Source organism: Homo sapiens, chromosome X (genome assembly GCF_000001405.40).
Source record: "Homo sapiens chromosome X, GRCh38.p14 Primary Assembly".
NCBI classification, from domain to species: Eukaryota; Metazoa; Chordata; class Mammalia; order Primates; family Hominidae; genus Homo; species Homo sapiens.
Genome location: NC_000023.11, coordinates 65,490,087 through 65,508,832, shown reverse-complemented (window position 1 = coordinate 65,508,832; position 18,746 = coordinate 65,490,087). Strand labels below are relative to the sequence as shown.

The 18,746-nt window shown below is 40.9% G+C and overlaps 1 protein-coding gene across 15 annotated transcripts in view, besides 3 other annotated features; it reads right to left on the bottom strand.

Annotated features, from left to right (window-relative positions):
• Window positions 946–18,746, bottom strand: part of ZC3H12B (zinc finger CCCH-type containing 12B) — a 473,062-nt gene continuing 455,261 nt past the window's right edge. For all 15 annotated transcript variants that reach the window (NM_001010888.4, XM_047442075.1, XM_047442077.1 and 12 more), the window contains 4 exons: window positions 11,562–11,701; window positions 9,600–9,834; window positions 8,844–8,950; window positions 946–7,044 (listed from right to left, as the gene is read on the bottom strand). In NM_001010888.4, coding sequence (NP_001010888.3) covers window positions 5,624–7,044; window positions 8,844–8,950; window positions 9,600–9,834; window positions 11,562–11,701 — 1,903 coding nt within the window. In that variant the 3' untranslated portion in view covers window positions 946–5,623. The remainder of the gene's footprint in view (window positions 7,045–8,843; window positions 8,951–9,599; window positions 9,835–11,561; window positions 11,702–18,746) is intronic.
• Window positions 5,520–6,020: an enhancer, noted in NCBI's record as "H3K4me1 hESC enhancer chrX:64722693-64723193 (GRCh37/hg19 assembly coordinates)". NCBI's record gives its function as "activates a minimal SCP1, AML or CMV promoter by ChIP-STARR-seq in primed H9 embryonic stem cells {active_cell/tissue: H9 hESC(primed)}" and the evidence as "EXISTENCE:reporter gene assay evidence [ECO:0000049][PMID:30033119]".
• Window positions 6,021–6,521: an enhancer, noted in NCBI's record as "H3K4me1 hESC enhancer chrX:64722192-64722692 (GRCh37/hg19 assembly coordinates)". NCBI's record gives its function as "activates a minimal SCP1, AML or CMV promoter by ChIP-STARR-seq in primed H9 embryonic stem cells {active_cell/tissue: H9 hESC(primed)}" and the evidence as "EXISTENCE:reporter gene assay evidence [ECO:0000049][PMID:30033119]".
• Window positions 14,924–15,503: an enhancer, noted in NCBI's record as "OCT4-NANOG hESC enhancer chrX:64713210-64713789 (GRCh37/hg19 assembly coordinates)". NCBI's record gives its function as "activates a minimal SCP1, AML or CMV promoter by ChIP-STARR-seq in primed H9 embryonic stem cells {active_cell/tissue: H9 hESC(primed)}" and the evidence as "EXISTENCE:reporter gene assay evidence [ECO:0000049][PMID:30033119]".

Genomic DNA, 18,746 nt, shown 5'->3' with positions numbered 1-18,746 from the left:
AGAGAAGAAGAACCAACTCCACTATGATAAAGGGCTTACCAGCCTGGGAGTCATGAGGCCTGGGCTTCCAGTACCTGCCTTTGCCACTAATTCTGTTTGGCCTTGGTCAAATCTCTTCAGTGCTCTTGGAGCCTCAGTTCACGCACTATACCCTGAAGGGGTTGATGCAGCTGAGCGCTCTGAGTGTGAAGTGTAGGATAGTAGGCTCCTTTTGGCTCTGATATTCTGGCTGAGACAGCAGATGATGTATTTTTGGACCTGAGGCTATTCAGGGGAGAAACTACAGGCTGCGTACAAAAATTAAGTCTGGGCCCTGGGCCCGCCACTTGGTTCTGACTGGTGGGCAAAAGCAGGCCCAGCCCTGCCCTGCGGGGAGCACCAGTTCGATTAGCACTTGGAACTGTTTGTTAGTCTTCAAAATTTTGAGGACATATACTTACTGTGGTAAAATTCAGATGAACACATTTGGGGAAATCCCTGCCTTTATAGTTTTTAATCTCAAAATATAAGTCGCAAGGACATAAATCTAATACTTTAGGAGCAAACTAGAGTATATGTAGTATATGTATATGTATGTGTGGCATGGCTTTTGTTGTTGTTGTTTTTTGTTTCTTTGTTTTGTTTTTTGAGATGGAATCTCACTCTGTCGTCCAGGCTGGAGTGCAGTAGCATGATCTCGGCTCACTGCAACCTCCAAGTCTTGGATTCAAGCAATTCTCCTGCCTCAGCCTCCCGAGGAGCTGGGATTACAGGTGCGTGCCATGACACCAGGCTAATTTTTGTATTTTTAGTAGAGACAGGGTTTCGCCAGTTGGCCAGGCTGGTCTCCAACTCCTGACCTCAGGTGATCCGCCTGCTTCGCCTCCCAAAGTGCTGGGATTACAGGCATGAGCCACCATGCCCGGCCCATTGTTGTTGGTATTCTTAAAGAAACAGAGCCATGAGTGGTTAGTACACAAATAGTTTATGCAGTAAATAACTGTGGTTACAGTTCATTGTTGTCAGCAATACAGCATTTTCCATCACAATTATAGGTGAAACAAAACCTCATGAAGTAGTCATAGCACATTCATGCTAGCGAGAGCATATTACAAAGCAATGCACGTGCATTATAGGGGCAGACAAAACTGGGGAAGGGCTATATTTTCACTCACCTCTGGTTAACTTTGTGTATTTTGTCATTAAGACTTACATTATGTTTGGGTCAAACAAAAAACCCAAAGAGATTTTATAAAAGTTTACAACCATTAAACAGTATTGTTTAATCCCACAAATGGATAAAGCAAACTACTATAGCTCAACAATACACAAACCAGGACTAAAAATAGTCAATCTATGTATATAGCTAGCTACCATACAATAGATATTGAATATGCTGAGTCTTTACAAAGGCATTGACTATTTTAGACGAGCAGGTTCCAGAAATACACTTGTTTGTTTCCAATGAGAACTAACTGTAGTGCCATTTCAGTTGAAGACTATGCACTCCTCAGTGTCAGACGTGAGGATAAGCAAACTAGGGGAAGGCAGAGGAGGGTTAGGAGGGAGACCTGAGCGGACTCTTTGGACAGCTCAGCATTACTTTCTCTGTGCAGATCCAGACCTGGTTCACAAAGTAGAACAAAGTGTATTGAAATTTTTGGCCCTCAAAAAGGGCATTTGTACAAAGTCCCATACTTACAGCACAGATTGAATGGTAACTGAGTGCCTCTCAAAATGAACTCTTCTATGTTAGAAGAAAACTCAGGGCCAAAGGTTAATGGAAATCAGTGTTTGAATTACTGTATAAAGATAATTTATTCCAAAATAGAAAAAAATGAATTTTAGAGAAGTATTCTCCTGGAAACTAGCAGGGGGTGGGCAGAGAGAGAGAGAGAGAGGGAGAGAGAATCATGCTATGTGTTTTATTACTTAGAAGAAGAAAAGTTTTGTAGACCATTTCCATAAGGCATCTGTCATTCTCCCATACCTGGCACCTTAAGAGAGAGTGCAATGGCTCGATATTACCTTTGAAAAGGCTTCTTTTCCTTTGAGTTGTCTTACAGAAAGGGTGCCCTGGATTGACCATGCCACTCCGGGGTCACACTTCTCCTTTAGATCAAAATGAAAACAACAACAAAATCACAAAAAGAAGAAAAAAAATCAGAAAAGCTACAAAATTGAAGGCCTCAACAGGCACAGACTTCCTATGAGGTCAGAAAATCAGTGAAATAATTAAAATTACAAAGCACCTCTTGCAAAATACACTGTTTTTTGAAAACCACACAAAACGCTTTGTAGTAACCCCTGCTGAGTGCTTAGAGGTAAGTATCCTGAAGGACACATGCTTAGTCCCATGAAGGAAGCTTGATTTTATTATCAAGGCAGCCGAGGGGGTCCCAATGCTTCTTTGTTATTTGCTGTTTTATAATTACAGACAAAATGGAAAGTCAAGAAGTGCGTAGACCTCAATATAAAGAAAATGTTTCTCTAATAACTAGGAACCATGCTGTATTTATGTATTCATAGTTGTATAGCTCCATTTGTAGATTCTTGCAGATGAGTCACTAACACTGACACTTTTTACACAAAATCCCTTTTGCAAGGACATATTAAATTTAATAGGCTAAAGAGAACTTATGCAATATAATGCTTGAAATTTTACACATGATAGCTGTGCAGTGGTAATAAAGAGGCCTTGAAAAATTGTTTTTGTCTATAAATTACTACTGCCCTTTAGAAATAAAAGCTCCCTCACAACCCCTGAGCTACTTCCCTGTGACACACAGTGCCACAAACCTCATGGTGAAAATTCAGTGCCAAACCTAGCTTCAGATGAGTTTTGTACATTTGTTTCTATACAATCAGGAAAAAAAGAGATACAATTTGTATCAACAAAAGGTCATTTCTGGTTATTTGAGGCATTGCTCCTAGCCGCTTTTGGTTCATACCAAAAAGAAGAATGAGAGGAGAATGACAATCGTTTTTAGTAAATCAGAAATACATATGCTGCCTTAAAAAATATTTTCTGTATTGGGAGGAGCTTACACAGTTTCTGAGTACTAAATATGAACATGTTCAAGACGAATTGTAGGTGACAAGATGAATCTTGTGCTTCTCTGTAAATTGTACAGCTAGTGGATAGTGTGGTGCCATTCATGATCTTGGTAGGAAGATGAACTAACTGGCACATAGGCAGTAGCATCATCTGAGATTGTCAAATACCCTGATTTAGACACGAGTCCGATTTAGAAAGTCCAAGAAGTTGAAGGTATGAAATGGTGTTTGTGTGAAATAGCAAGCACTGCAGTGGCAACTGTCACTCTGTGGATCTACCTGATTGATAGAAAATACTTTTACTCTTTTTCAATATGCTGGGGTATACGAAGATCAGAAGATAGGAGATAGAATGTAAAGCTGTGGTTAACTCAAGTGAAACATTGGTTAAGATGCAGTATTGATCAACTTGGACAGAGACAGAAAGCCAGAAAGCAGCATGCAAGCCATTGTCAAACCACCAGAAACAACCCTGACTACAGCCTCACATTCAGAGTGTTTCACAGTAAGAAACATTTATAGGCAGTGTCACACCTTCTCATGAAGAAACAAAAGGCCAAGGCCCGGCCTTCTCAACTTTCATGAAAAAACGATCATAGAAGTTAGCAAGTTCCAGCTCAGGAAATAGTGAGCTGATCATGGTTCGAAATATTGAAATATACAATGGATTCAAAAAGGGAATTCATTTAGTGCAGCTTAAAAAAAACAATAAACACCTCTTCTAGAGGCATTTAGCTATGAAGTTTTCCACCCTGAGCAAGATACAAGTTGCGCAAATGGTGTCGCCCAAACCAAAAGTCCTGCCTTCTAATAACTCATTTAACAATTATTTAACAGCAAGTGCACTCTTTGCATGGATTTAAAGTGAGTAACTGAGCCAGCTATTAGTAAAGATGCAGTATCCCCTTTTGGAAACTTCCTTTTTCCACAAATAAAATCCCCTGGTTTTGTTTCCTAGAGAAATTCTGTTCCACCAATGATTGACCTTATTACCCAAAGGGTGGACAGGAAGAGAAAGTGGATACATGGCTGTGCACTGTCCTCCATTACATTTCATCCAATGATGTTGAATACTGCATAGGTCAGAAGTCCAAAGAGCATCCAATAGTCCCTCCTTGAGTGAAGCTTTTTTATTCACCATTTAATGCCACATGGGTTTGGCCATCTCTCCTGGGATAAGGGAAGTGGATTGTGGTAGTAAGTCCCCTGGTCCTTGTCAAACTCTTCTGAGCTTGTGTAGCACACACATACTATGCTTGGAACTTGAGCTTAACCATCAGTTTCTCTGCAGAAGACTGCAACCTGATCCCTAATTTGCTAAGGTGAAGAGACTTGGAAGGTAAGAACTGTTAATAAATGTTGGCAGGTAAAATGTGCAAAGGAAACAGAGTTGCTTTGCTCTGGTGCCTAAGAAAGCAATGTTCAAATATTGCCATATAATTTCTCTCTCATAACTAGTTAAAACTATGAAATGTGACTTAAAATCATCAAGTCAGATTAGTGACCTATACAGCTATAGACGAAGGACTGTGTAGAGCCTACCCTCTCATTATCACTATATAAAAGGTTATACAGAGATACACACACATCTCAAACCAAATATATATATTCATACATGCAATATAATTGCTAATAATAGCTTTAAAATATAGTTCTAGAAGCTTCAATGTGACCCTATAGTTTCATTAATATAGATTGAGTGATCAGATATCCATGCAATAAAGTATGCATTTACTTTTAAATAGCTTTAAATATTTCTATTAGAAAAAACCTAAAAGGTTAATTCAACATATGATCTGATCCTGATGCTTTTGCTCTCTAAATTGGATATATCATCCATACTTTGTAATATAGAATATGTGACTACGAAAACTCTGGTAGGCTGGGCGCAGTGGCTCACACCTGTAATCCCAGCACTTTAGGAGGCCAAGGTGGGCGGATCACTTGAGGCCAGGAGTTTGAGACCAGCCTGGCCAACACGGTGAAACCACGTCTCTACTAAAAATACAAAAATTAGCTGGGCATGGTGGTGCACGCCTGTAATCCCAGCTACCTGGGAGGCTGAGGCCATAGAATCACTTGAACCCTGGAGGTGGAGGTTGCAGTGAGCAGAGATAGTGCCACTGCACTCCAGCCTGTGTAACAGAGTGAGATTCTGTCTCAAAAAAAAAAAATAAAGAAAGAAAGAAAGAAACGAAAAGAGAAAAAGGAAAACTCTGGTAATGGAATCCTCTGGGATTTCTTACATCTAGACCTCTCCCCCTGGGTTTTGTCCTCCATTACCTGCATGGTGCAGTGCAAAGGGGCATGGGACTTGGATTTAGAGGACTTGGGTGTGTGTCTTGACTTAGTCATTTGCTAGCAGTGTGACCCTGGCTAGCCACTTAATTTCACTGACCTTCACCTTCCTTCTCTATAAAAGAGGATGTTAGTAAGACGTACCTCACAGGGTTGTTAAGCGCTTAAATGATATAAACACTCTAACTTGTAAAGCGCAACACAAATTATTAGTTACTATAATTATTGTATTAGTGTATTATTAGTATTAATATTCATATTTGTATAAAGAAATAAGTACTATGTCATATCAACGTGCAGCCCTAAGCTTAGCAACAATCAAGGCTGCCAGTTGCTGGGCATCTGCTGTGTGGGGATTCTTCTCCATCACTGCAAGGACGATGTTAGAAGGGAAAATATTGCAGAGGTTCTTGTAGGTCTGATACTGGTGTTCTGGGATCATATGCTCCCTGGAATCATTGCACATTCCAACCCAAGGATTCCTCCAAAGCTGCTCCATCTTTTCAGGCACGCTCCGTACCATGACTGGCTCATAACATGGTTGCATGAGGCTGTTACTCAAGGGATAGGAGTGGTAGCCATAGGAGTCAGTTGTACAGGGCAGCGGGTCCCAGCTGGCATGCTGTTCCCGGCACAGGGGAGGTCGTCTTTGCCTCACGGGGTTGCTCTCATAGAGGCGGGAGTCGGAAATGCTATCCATCCGAGTCATCACCAGGGCACGGCCTGGCTGGGGGGTTGCCCCAGGATGGATATTGGGAGGCATGGGGTAGTCTGCAGGACAGCTGGAACGTGTTCCAGTTGATGGGTGCTGGGCATGCAGAGCTAAGTGGGGGACTGACTGTTTGTGGGGGCCTTGCTTAGAATCCTCTGGGCCATAGCTCTGCACTCGTGTTAAGGCTTCATGGTAACCATGAGGAAAAGGCTGAAGTCGGTTCTGGGATGCTGAGCGGTGCAGCTTCAAATTGCCTTCAGGATGGGTATCAGCTACAGCCAAATACACGTTGTTGTAAGAGGAATAGTTGTCATTCCTGGTATGGCTCACACGGCTGTCAGAACAGAGGTTAGGATTCCGGGCATACACCCCCCGGTCTACTTCAGCCATGTAATACTCTCGGTTATGCATGCTGTTGATGTTCAGTTTGGAGAAGTCACCTAACATTGAATAGTAGCCATGGTCCCCCATGGATTCAAACTTTGGGTATTGCTCAGCATAGCTAATAGGGGTCCCATGGCTGTTGGTAACCAAGATGGGAGGATACTGCATGCTGGCCATATGCTCCAAAGAGGCCTTCTGGTGGGGGAAATGGGAGGATCCTGGCACTGGGCTGCTGGCCGAACGGGTGTTGAGTGCACCCACTGCATGGCTTTTGGGGGGTGGGATTGTGGGAACACTTAGGGCAGTCACAAGCGAGGGGACAGAACTAGCCTCAGGCTTACGGGCAATGGACAGCCATTCCTCAGGCTCCATAGCCACAGACCGGATGCTGGGATCTGATTGGCGCTTGGGGGCCACACGTTTGACCTCTGAGGTTATCTCACCTTTGGCACTAGACATCCCTGTGCCACACTTGGCCAGGGTGCCTTCACTCATAGTTTTCACTGTGGACAGTTTGGCACTGATGCGGAGCTCATCAGCCACCGAACGCTGGGGTTGGTTGGCCCGCTCCGGATGGTAGTATTTGCACTTGTGGCCGTAGGTGCATTTTTTGCCTGAAAAATAATGCCTTGGGGTAAGACTCTCTCTCAGTGATGGAACCCTCTGTGCCAAAAACTGTTGTAACAATCTGGTCACTCAGGTTAGGGTTTTACTGTTTGGGGTAAAGGCAGAAAATTAACTGTCCACAAAGATGAGAGACAGACAACACCAAGGAGGCATCATACACTGTGATGGGAGAGAGAAAGTGGAAAGCTATGGAGAAAATTGCAGCATAAAAGCTAAGAGCTGGCTGGATGTGGTGACTCCTGTCTGTAGTCCCAGCAGTTTGGGAGGCTGAGGTGGGTGAATCACTTTAGCCCAGGAGTTCGAGACCAGCTTGGGCAACATTGTGAAACCCCGTCTGTAAAGAAAAATACAAACAAAATTAGCTGGGCATGGTGGTGCACGTCTGCAGTCCCAGCTACTCAGGAGCCTGAGGTGGGAGAATTCTTGAGCCTGGAAGGTCAAGGCTGCAGTGAGCCGTGATCATGCCACTGATCTCCAGCCCAGGTGACAGAGCAAGAGCAAGACCCTGTCTCAAAAAAAAAAAAAAAAAAAAAAAAGCTAAAGCTGAGCAGTTTTAATTTTTCGATAATGTACAACTTTGCCTAGGCATAATCTGCATGCTGAAGCAGCATAGAGTAACAGAAAGCAGCATAGTGCAATGCAAAGAGCACAGGTTTGGAGTCCAGTCAGATCTGAATTTCAATTCCAGCTATGTCCCTTACTAGCTGTGTGACCTTGGTAAGTGACTTTATTTTGTGAGCTTCATTTTCCTCTTCTGTAACCAAAGTTCATCATCATGCCTATATTATAGGGTCATTGTAAAGATTAAATGAGATAATGAATATGAAAATACTGTGTGACTTAAAGATTAATTGAGGACAAAAACCAAAACACCCCACAAAACAAATGATCATCCAAAAAAACAGACATTCAAAGTAGCCTCAGATCAAGCAGCCCATGTCGCAATGTTAGGCGCACAAACGTTGTATCAGAGGGACTGGGGTAAGAGCATGAAAACACTCTAGAAAACTATATTTATTTAAAAAAAAAAAACAAAAACTGGAAAGGGGCCGGGCACGGTGGCTCATGCCTGTAATCTCAGCACTTTCAGAGGCCGAGGTGGGTGGATCACTTGAAGTCAGGAGTTCGAGACCAGCTTGGCCAACATGGTGAAACCCCCGTCTCTACTAAAAATACAAAAATTAGCTGGGCTTGGCATCATGCACCTGTAATCCCAGCTACTGGGGAGGCTGAGGGAGGAGAATCGCTTAAACCCGGGAAGCGGAGGTTGCAGTGAGCCAAGACTGCACCACTGCACTGCAGCCTAGGTGACAGAGCAAGACTTTGTCTCAAAAAACAAACAAACAAACAAAAAAACTGGAAAGGACAGATCTAAAGGAAAGGTTAGTATTAATTGAAAGAGGGTGCAGTCACCTGCCTGAGACACATGTTCATCTTGGGGCCAAACTCAGTTTGGTATTGCCCTTTCTACTTCCACAGGCCATATAGATTTCTTCATTTCCCTGCTTCCAGCAACATAGTTCAGGACTTAGGCAGGTAGAACACATGTACTATTGTCACAAGTGACAACTAGTCTTCCCTTCAATTCTAGCTACCTTTTCCTCATTCAGTTTCTAAGATTTTTCTTTAAATACCTAACAGTGTACACGAAGACACAAACTTTAACTCAAAGACAGTGGACAAGCCAGGATTTCCCATTTGAAAGGGAAACCTGGAAGAGAAAAGTGTTCACAGAATCCTTATGTTTCCGGTGGTACAGAACTCAGTTTTGTATGTAGGTACTCACCATAAGGACATGGTTGCTTCTTATGCTCAGGAACAATGGGTCTCTTTCTTAAGAAATTTTCAAGGCTTGGGCCGTGGCGTCCTAATGGATCATCTGGAGGCATAAATCTGAAAGCAAGTAAGCAAGAGGTGACTGTCTTCCTTTCTGTCCCCTACTCCTTACTAGGAGTTCAGATTTTCATTACCTCTTGCCTGTACTGTTGTCACAGCCTTCTAATTGCCCTTCCTGCCTCAAGTCTATCCTCTGCTAATCTAGCAGTTCTTCCCTTTGTTGCCACTTTATCACATAGAAAGGATGATTTTCCCTGTTCATCATTATTCCATGAACTACATGTTTGAGCCGTACTGGCATGTCTGCTGGTTCCCCCAACATGCTACCCACTTTCACACCTTCATAACTTTATTCATGATGTCCCCCTCACCTCATGCCTAGCAGCCCCCTTTCCTCCATCTGTAAACTTGATCTGAAATGTCATCTCCTCTGGGATGCCTTTTTCTATTACTTCACATAGACAAAGCAATTTTTAAAAAACAAATTTTAACTGTAGCTCTTATAACAAAACATTGTGGTTGTCTCTTTCGCTCCTCTACTACACTTTGAGTCTCTTAAGGGTGAGTCCTTTTCCTTATTCATCCTTTTATCTGTGTGGCAACTAGCAAAATGTATGATACACAGTAAGTGTTTGGTAAATGTTTATTAAAATGTAATCTATTCTTACTGATAACTTGGATATAGGCCTACTGGAAAGAAACGCACTTGTCATTCACAAAAGAATACATCAGCAACCGCTCCTCTATAAACTTCTTCCATTCTGGCTTTTCAACTTGAAGGTCTCGGTAGTTATCATTGGACACAATGATGCCATCAGAATCAAAAGCCAGTTTGACTATGAACCGGTCATCATAGCAGACAACCCTCCTGCCTTGGACTCTTCGGGATGGTGTGAAGACAAGAATCTTTTCCTTCTCCAGTTTTCGTAGAATATCTTGATCTGTCAAAATATGATTATATGCCACAGAGCAGAAATCATCTTTGGAAATTAACAGTATTACCCCAATATTAAAAATGCAAAAGTTGGTACTGGATGAAGATATTATTTGCTCTTAGAGGGAAAGTAGGCCCTGTTCCTGGCTATGATATCAATCTGGATTATGACCTTAGGCAAGTCATCTTCCCCTTTGGACTTCAGTCTTCTTTTTGATAAAATGAAGGAACTGGATTCAATGACATTTGAGTTTTAAAAACTACCATGAAGAGTGAGAGTGACACTGATATCTTAGCATTCTTGATGCTTGTTTTGCCCTTTGGCCAAAGCACCAGCTTTTTGGTTGTTGATTTCTAACAGGGAAATACTGAGGATGTGTCTGCCAGGAGGAAACTAAAGCATCTCTCCTAGGCACTTACATTTTTGGCTTCTGCCTGAGGGAAGACCAAAACTAGGGTGAAACATCAAGATATAGCAACTGAGTGCTGACCCCCTTTCCTTTTGGTCTCCTAGTTGCCGAGGCAAGAAAGCTTGCTGGCTGGGCTTGAGCAGGGCTAGGATCTATTCTCAGACTGAGGCTCAAGAGCCTGTTCAGCAGATGGCAAATAGCTTCACACACAGCTCAGACAGCCATTCACGGGACTTTCTCATTAGGCACATCAGGCAACAGCTGATGCTCAGAAGACTGTTGTAAATGAATGTAGAGACCCCTCTGCCGTTAGGACTGCATCATGACTTTTGAAAACCTTAGGCATTTTTGCTTTCCTAGGCTCCTTCCTCCATAAGAAATGTTAAATATTGGCTGGGCGTGGTGGCTTATGCCTGTAATCCTAGCACTTTGGGAGGCTGAGGCGGGCAGATAGCTTGAGCCCAGGAGTTCAAGACCAGCTTGGGCAACATGGCAAAACTCCATCTCTACTAAAAATACAAAAATTAGCTAGGCGCAGTGGTACATGCCTGTAGTCCCAGGTACTCAGGAGGCTGAGGTGGGAGAAAAACCTGAGCCCAGGGAGGTAGAGGCTGCAGTGAGCCATGATCACACCATGGCATTCTAGCCTAGGTGACAGAGTGAGACCCTGTCTCAAACAAAGATAAATATTAAATATTAAAAATTTCGTTTTCAATTGCTTCAGTATAAAGCCAAGGATAACCCAGCTAGATACATCATTGTACATGCATTGCTGTTATATTCAATTTTTTCTTCTGATGTGAGAAGAAAATAAAATTAAGACATTTCCATGGGACCTTAGCAATATCATTGGCCCTAGGTGCCAGACCTACTGTGTCTCATGGATAAGTTGGCTCTGACTGCTGTGGGACTTTTCTTTCTCTCTATTTTATTCCCTAATTTGCAAACCCCACAATCACTTCTTTGGTACAGAATGAGATCCATTGTCCACCATGGTGTTTTTACTCTCTTGAAAACTTAGTCATGCTCATAACCAGATTCATCACCCTTTAGTCTGAAGTCTATGGTCAAATAGAAAAGCACTCCTTTTTTTTGAAACTATGTGCTTTATCTTTTGCCGAATTGAAGTTTTCTTTATTTAACTGTCAGATGCTACAAAATAATGATGACTTTCTTTGAATCTTTTTTCAAATATATGCTTAATAAAAATACTTTAAATATACTTAACAACTTTGAAAAATAAATATCTAAATTGGGACCATCCCCAAACTATCTTTCCAGATTTGCCTCTAGATGAGAAGAAATGTCTTATTTGACACAATACCTGTAATTGGTGCATCAGGGCGGGATTGCTCCTTTCTCCATGCAGGCACAAATACAGTAATATCTTTATGGCCTTTATCTAGAAACCAATCCACAGCAAGTTGTATTCCTCTGCAGGAGAATTCTTCTTTATTCCCATGGCTTAGGAAGATACAGAATAAGAGGAGAGAAGATTGATAATAGATAGCAAAGAAATATCTGAAGCAGGCTTTTTCTTAGTACCAAGGTATTAATAATAGACATTTACATTCTTTTCTTTCTTTCTCTCTTTCTTTCTTCCTTTTGCTTCTTTTCTTTTCTTTTTTTTCTTTTTTTTTTTTTTTTGGTCTCACTTTTTCTCCCAGGCTGGAGTACAGTGGCACAATCTCGGCTCACTGCAACATCCACCTCCTGGGTTCAAGTGATTCTCCTGCTTCCACCTCCTGAGTAGCTGGAACTACAGATGCACACCACCATGCCCAGCTAATTTTTGTATTTTTAGTAGAGACGGGGTTTTGCCATGTTGGCCAGGCTGGTCTCGAACTCCTGACCTCAGGTGATCTGCCTGCCTCGGCCTCCCAAAGTGCTAGAATTACAAGCATAAGCCACTGCGGCCAGCCATGACATTTACTTTCTTGATAATGCCAAATAACATGCTTTTTAAAGAGCAAATCAAGATATTTTTATGTAATTGTTACAAATTTGCCATTATTATTACAAACTTCATTCAAGGCCACAGATGGTTAGTAACAACTCCCAATTTATTGCAGCCCTGATGGCTATCTCCTATCACTAGTTCCATTTTCTCTCTTCTTTTTCTGTTTCTCCTACCACTTTCTTTTCAAAGATTGAGATATTCACAAAAAATTAAAAAAGTAAAGGTATTACCAGAGGTTTAAAGTTTATATAGAGTATTAATTGGGGATAAGTCTTAAGCACATATATATTAAGCTTCAAAAATAACATCGACAGCAAAAAAGATATGCACATAAATGCTCACTGAAAATTCTTATTACATATATGCATTTAATACAATGCACCAACAAAAATCATATTCATGAAAATTTTAAGATGTAGGAAATGCTCATAATTCTGAAAGAGAAAAGAAAAAATACAGACTATATATAATGTAACACCGATTTTGTAGAAGAAAACCTATGTATAAGCTTAGAAAAAATATGAGTACATCGAAATATTAATAAATATTGTTGTTCTGTGTGAGAGGGTTATAAGTGATCTATTTTCTTCCTCTAATTCCAAAATATCCTCAAAAAATCAAGTATTTCTGGCTGGGTGCGATGGCTCAGGCCTGTAATCCCAGCAGGTTGGGATGCCGAGGTGGGAGAATTGTTTGAGCCCAGGAATTTGCGACCAGCCTCGGCAACATAGTGAGACCCCATGTTTATTAAAAAGAAAAAAAAATTCAAGTATTCTTTCTATAATCAGAACATGAAATAAAGGAGAAGAAATTCTATCAGAATTACTTATAGGAATAAACATTGTGAAAACTTAAAAAGCCAAACAGAATTCATTTAAATAGAAATTGGAAGAGGGAAAATTTGCAGATAAATTGGGAAAAGATGCACTAGATTTGTGCCTTGTTTGGCTGTGAAAATTACGATCTCTTAGCATGGTATCTAGTGCTCTGACATATACATAAATCACACTAAATTATAGTTAATTAAACAGCTTGGATGGTAACAAATGGGCATACACGTACCAATTCTACTACAATCAAGTGGCTATTGTCTGTTAAGACTGATCAGAAGAAAATAATTGTTTTGTTAGAAGGCTAATTAAGACAATGTGATGGGGCTTCTCACTTTGGATTCCTCACCTTCTCACTGGCACTAGCTCACTAACTACAACAAAAATGAACTCCAACATATTGTTCCCTTTCAATGAATTCATATATAATATCCGGGGCCTCATCAATTCTTGTACTGCAAGACTTCCCACTGTCTTATCACTCTTGAGGCAAATTGCAAAAATTTATTAAATGCTTTTATTAACATTTCCAAGCATATGCTAATCATGTTTAAAGCTCCCCAGTGAGTACCACAAAACAATTATACTACTCAACTGAAAGTTGAAAGCACTTAAGAAACAAAAGGAAAATATATTTAGCTGTCAATACACTCTAAGGTAGCCTTAGAGATAACTACCACTGACTCCTAAAAAGTTGAACAATGGGGAAATTATGCAAGACCACAGTGCTTAAAGGGTTAATATTGGATGAACTCTGGAAGAGAAGATGTTCAGTTGTGAATTTTCCCACTGCTACAGTGCTGGTAAGTATAAAGAATAACAGAACTTGGGAAAATTATCAGAATTGCCATTAGAGAGGATTTGAAGGGATGGAATTTCATTTGGCTCTGCAGTGCTATGATCTTCTCCCAAACAGTCTAAGTCCAGAAATAAATATGAGAGTAACATTTGCTGTTAGATACTGCAACTTTATATTTTATTTATTTATTTATTTATTTATTTATTTATTTATTTATTTATTTTTTGGGACAGAGTCTTGCTCTGTTATCCAGGCTGGAGTGCAATGGCACCATCTCGGCTCACTGCAACCTCTGCCTCCCGGGTTCAAGCAATTCTCCTGTCTCAGCCTCCCGAGTAGCTGGGATTACAAACGCACGCCAACATGCCCAGCTAATTTTTGTATTTTTAGTAGAGACGGGGTTTCACCATGTTGCCAAGGCTGGTCTTGAACTCCTGAACTTGTGATCCGCCAGCGTCAGCCTCCTAAAGTGCCGGGATTACAGGCGTGAGCCACCAGGCCCAGCCAACTTTATATTTTATACTGCCAAATTCTGTGTTTAAATTTTTTTTTTCAGCCTTGGCAACATGGTGAGACCCTGCCTCTACAAAAAATTAGCTGAGTATGGTGATGCACACCTGTAGTCCTAGCTACTTGGGAAGCTGAGGCAGGAAAATCACTTGAGCCCAGGAGTTTGAGGTCACAGTGAGCTATGATCATGCCACTGCACTCCAGCCTGGGTGACAGAACAAGGCCCTGTCTCTAAATATATACATATAATCATTAAAAATGTAATATATGGTTATAGTATAAAACGTGGAAAATACATAAAATATAAAGAAAAAAAACTCCAAAATCCAACTGTTTTACTACAATCCAGAGACAAACACTGTTAATATTTTGATATATTTATATTCTGATATCAATTTCCTAACATACTGAGAATTATGTTAAGAAAAAATGTAACATACCTATAGCATCCCGTTAAAATATATTAAAAGTATGCCACTGAAGCATTTCATGAGGCACACCAAATGCCCAATAAGAATCAGAAGGCAGTTTCAACATTTATCAAGGTGGCAATGAGTACCTACACAACAGCCAAGTATGCAAAGTTTATTGCCCCTAAACATTTAAGGAATGAATAATTTTTTTTGAAAAAAAAGAGGAAAATAAAGCTTTTCAAGTGGCTTGTTTTTGCTTAAACACATACAATGTCCTTTTGCAATCTAAAAAATGCCAAAAACCCTAGGACCTGCAAGTCACGGAGTATCTTGGTGACACTACAGTTCACTTTGTCTTGTAAACTTGCTTAGGAACCTCTCATGATCCAGGTTCCCAAGCCAAATTCAGCTTAGCAGATAGGTCATTAGCCCCACCCTCTGCAATTGTTTTCTCTGGGGTTCAAATGTTTGGGCTTCTCCTAGACTTAACAAAGAATATGGTTGCATTTACATTTCAAAGCCTTAATTCCTCTGAAATGGATTTCTCCTTCCAAAGGAGACAGCTCTCAGAATGAATGTACCCTTTAGGATCTTAGCATATATCAATCAGTATGTGGACCACAGGTGCACTACTACTGCAAATGTTAACCAAATGCTGCTAATGGCAAACGAAGCATCATAAATTTTTTTTTTCTTTTTTTCAGACTGAGTCTCACTCTGTCACCCAGGCTGGAGTGTAGTGGCGCAATCTCGGCTCACTGCAACCTCTGCGTTCTGGGTTCAAGCGATTCTCCTGTACAGGCACGCCACCACCACACCCGGCTAATTTTTGTATTTTTAGTAGAGATGAAGTTTTGCCTTGTTGGCCAGGCTGGTCTCGAACTCCTGACCTCAAGTGATCCTCCTGCCTCAGCCTCCCAAAGTTCTGGGATTACAGGTGTGAGCCACCAGGCCCGGCCCATAATTTTATTTTATTTTTGGAGACAGGGTCTTGCTCTGTCACCCAGGTTGGAGTGCAGTGGCATGATCATGGCTCACTGCAGCCTCAACCTCCCTGGGCTCAAGCGATTCTCCCACCTCAGCCCCCCAAGTAGCTGGGACTACGGGCATGAACCCCCACGCTGGGTTATTTTTTGGTATTTTTAGTAGAGATGGGGTTTTGTCATGCTGCTCAGGCTGGTCTCGAACTCCTGGGCTCAAGCAGTCTGCCTGCCTTGGCCTCTCAAAGTGCTAGGATTACAAGCTTGAGCCACTGTGCCTGGCCAGCATCATAATTTTAATGCAGGATAATCCAACAGGCTGAGAAACAACAGACATTAACATGTAGTTTGTCTAAGAAATACCAATCTCACCATAAACTTACAGCTAACTAATGAGGAAAACAAACCAAATTTAGATTAACAGTAATAACAAATCCATAAGTAGACTATAGCGCTGAACTTTGAGCATGTGAAATGTGATTGCAGAATAAATGGGACTTAACGGTAATTTACTACTCAGACAAAAGAAAAAGATGCTAACAAGGACTCAACTGGCAATTTAAAAAAAATTACATGGTCTACTCTGCACTATTTTAGTATGTTCCTAACAATAAGGTTGCATGCTATTTCTTGGCTCTATTTAAATCATGCGAGATGCCTTTAATTTAGCAAAGTAACTCATACAGGAGATCAAAGTTCATTTTCCTGTCAGTATAACAGTTTGCTACTGACATAGACCAGATATGTTGAAACTAATTATCCAAGTAATTAATCTCTGCATTATTCCTTAAAAAGCGAAAGAACCAGAGTGTCCTTCATGATCAGCAATCCTTGAATAGAAGTCCAAAGAGAAGGAAGATATTACATTACCATGAAGCCAAAGTCCCCAATAATGCCTTAGGTTCTTCTCAACCTTAACTCCGAAACACAAAACCAGACCAAACCAAACCAAACCAAACCAAAACAAAACAAAACAAAAAAAATGGTAGGCCTTGGGAATCAGGTCCGATCTAGGGTGTTCCGGGTGGTCTGGTTTGGTGACAGATTGAGTTGGACACATCCCAAACTCCTTCCCCTCAAGAATCACTCTTTCTTATGCCTGTTAGGAGGGGAGCAGAGACACCTTTGGCCTTTTGAACACAGACATTATCCTCTGCTTTTCACTGGCCCACTGCATCATTCTGATTGCTGTAGTATTGTGTGCAGACCATTTAACTTTCTTGTTACTAATCTTTTGGTTTCCCCTCATTAAAACAAAGGAGCTGTCTAGCCTGCTTTACGTACCTTATAATTATGATGATGTCATGATTTTAAAAAATTGAAAAAGGAAATCTGTAAATGCATTCTCTGATACTAGCAAATATGTCATATATATATATATATATATATTTTTTTTTTAAATAGGGCCTCACTCCATCACTCAAGGTGGAGTGCAGTGGCGAGATCACTGCTCACTGTAGCCTTGACCTCCCGAGCTCAAGAGAACCTCCCACCTCAGCCTCCTGAGTAGCTGTGACTACAGGCATGTGCCACTATGCCTGGATAATTTTTGTATTTGCAGTAGAGACAGGGTTTTGCCATGTTGCCCAAGCTGGTCTTGAAGTCCTGGGCTCAAGCGATCCTCCCACCTCGGCTTCCCAATGTGTCGGGATTATAGGTGTGAGCCACCGTACCTGGCCCAAATATTCTTAATAACACTAATAGCCACATAATACTGTGTGATATTATGAAAAGAGAATTGGAGTCAGATTAGTGTTTTAATTTAAGCTTTGTAAGCTTGGGTAACCTTGGGTAGTTATTCAAACTCTCTGAACCTGAATCTCTTCACCTGCAAAGATGAACCAAATTAGTTGATTCTTATAGGGTCTCCAGTGGGGATTAATTCACATACGTAAAAGAATCTGGCACAGAATCAGTATTCATAAATGTTAGTTTGTTTCATTTCATTCATTTGAAGTCAGAGGACTTAAGTTCGAGTTCTCACTTTACTACTTACTAGCTATGTAAACTCAGGGAAGTCACTTACCTTTGCTGAGCCTTATTTTTTCATCTGTAAGATAAAGTTGCTGTGAGGATTAAACAGGACTATATACTAAAGTGTACTTCTAGATAGTCTGCTAAGCATTTCCTGTATACAGCAATGGTACGGTTCATGACTTTCTCCCATCCCCACTCTCTCATGTCTCTGTGGGAGCACCCAATACCATGGGAAAACAAAGCAAGATCCCTGCTTTCAAAGACAATGGGATAATCTAAGTTAAAACTTGCTAGACTAAGGCTTTTTCACTTTGTTCTGATTGCCTATGGTCTAGGGATTCTAGTGAGTCCATCAAGCAATGATAGACTCAATAGGAAAAAGGCTCCTGATTACTGGGGTTTTTTAAACCAAGGCTGGATTACAATTCATTTGAGAAATAGAAGAAGGGATTCCTATGGCTCTCTGGCACAAAATTTAAAAAATGATATGAGAGAGTATGGAATAAATTATGAAGGCACTATAGGTATTATGTGAGTCTCCCACTGCTGCTGTAACAAATTATCACACATGTAGTGACTTAAAATAGCACCAATTTATTCTCTTACAAGTTCAATAGGTCAGAAATATAAAATCAAGGTGTTGGCAAAGCTGTGTTCTTTCTGCAAGCTTAAAGAGAGAATCTGTTTCCTTGCCCTTTTCAGCTTTCTAGAAGCCACCCACATTCTTTTTTTTTTTTTTTTTTTTTTCCTGAAACAGTCCAATGGGTGAGAAAGGCCACCCACATTCTTTGGCTCATAGTCCCTTTCTTACGTCACTCCATCTTCTTGTTTCTGCCATTCCATCTCCTTCTACTTATTCTGATCTTGCTGCTTCCCTCTAATAAAGGCACTTGTGATTACATTAGGCCCACTTTGATAATCCAGGGTAATCTCTCCCATCTCAAGAACCTTAATCACATTTGCAAAGTCCATTTTACCATATGAGATAATGTATTCAGAGATTCCAGGGATTAAAATGTGGACATCTCTAGGGGGCTATC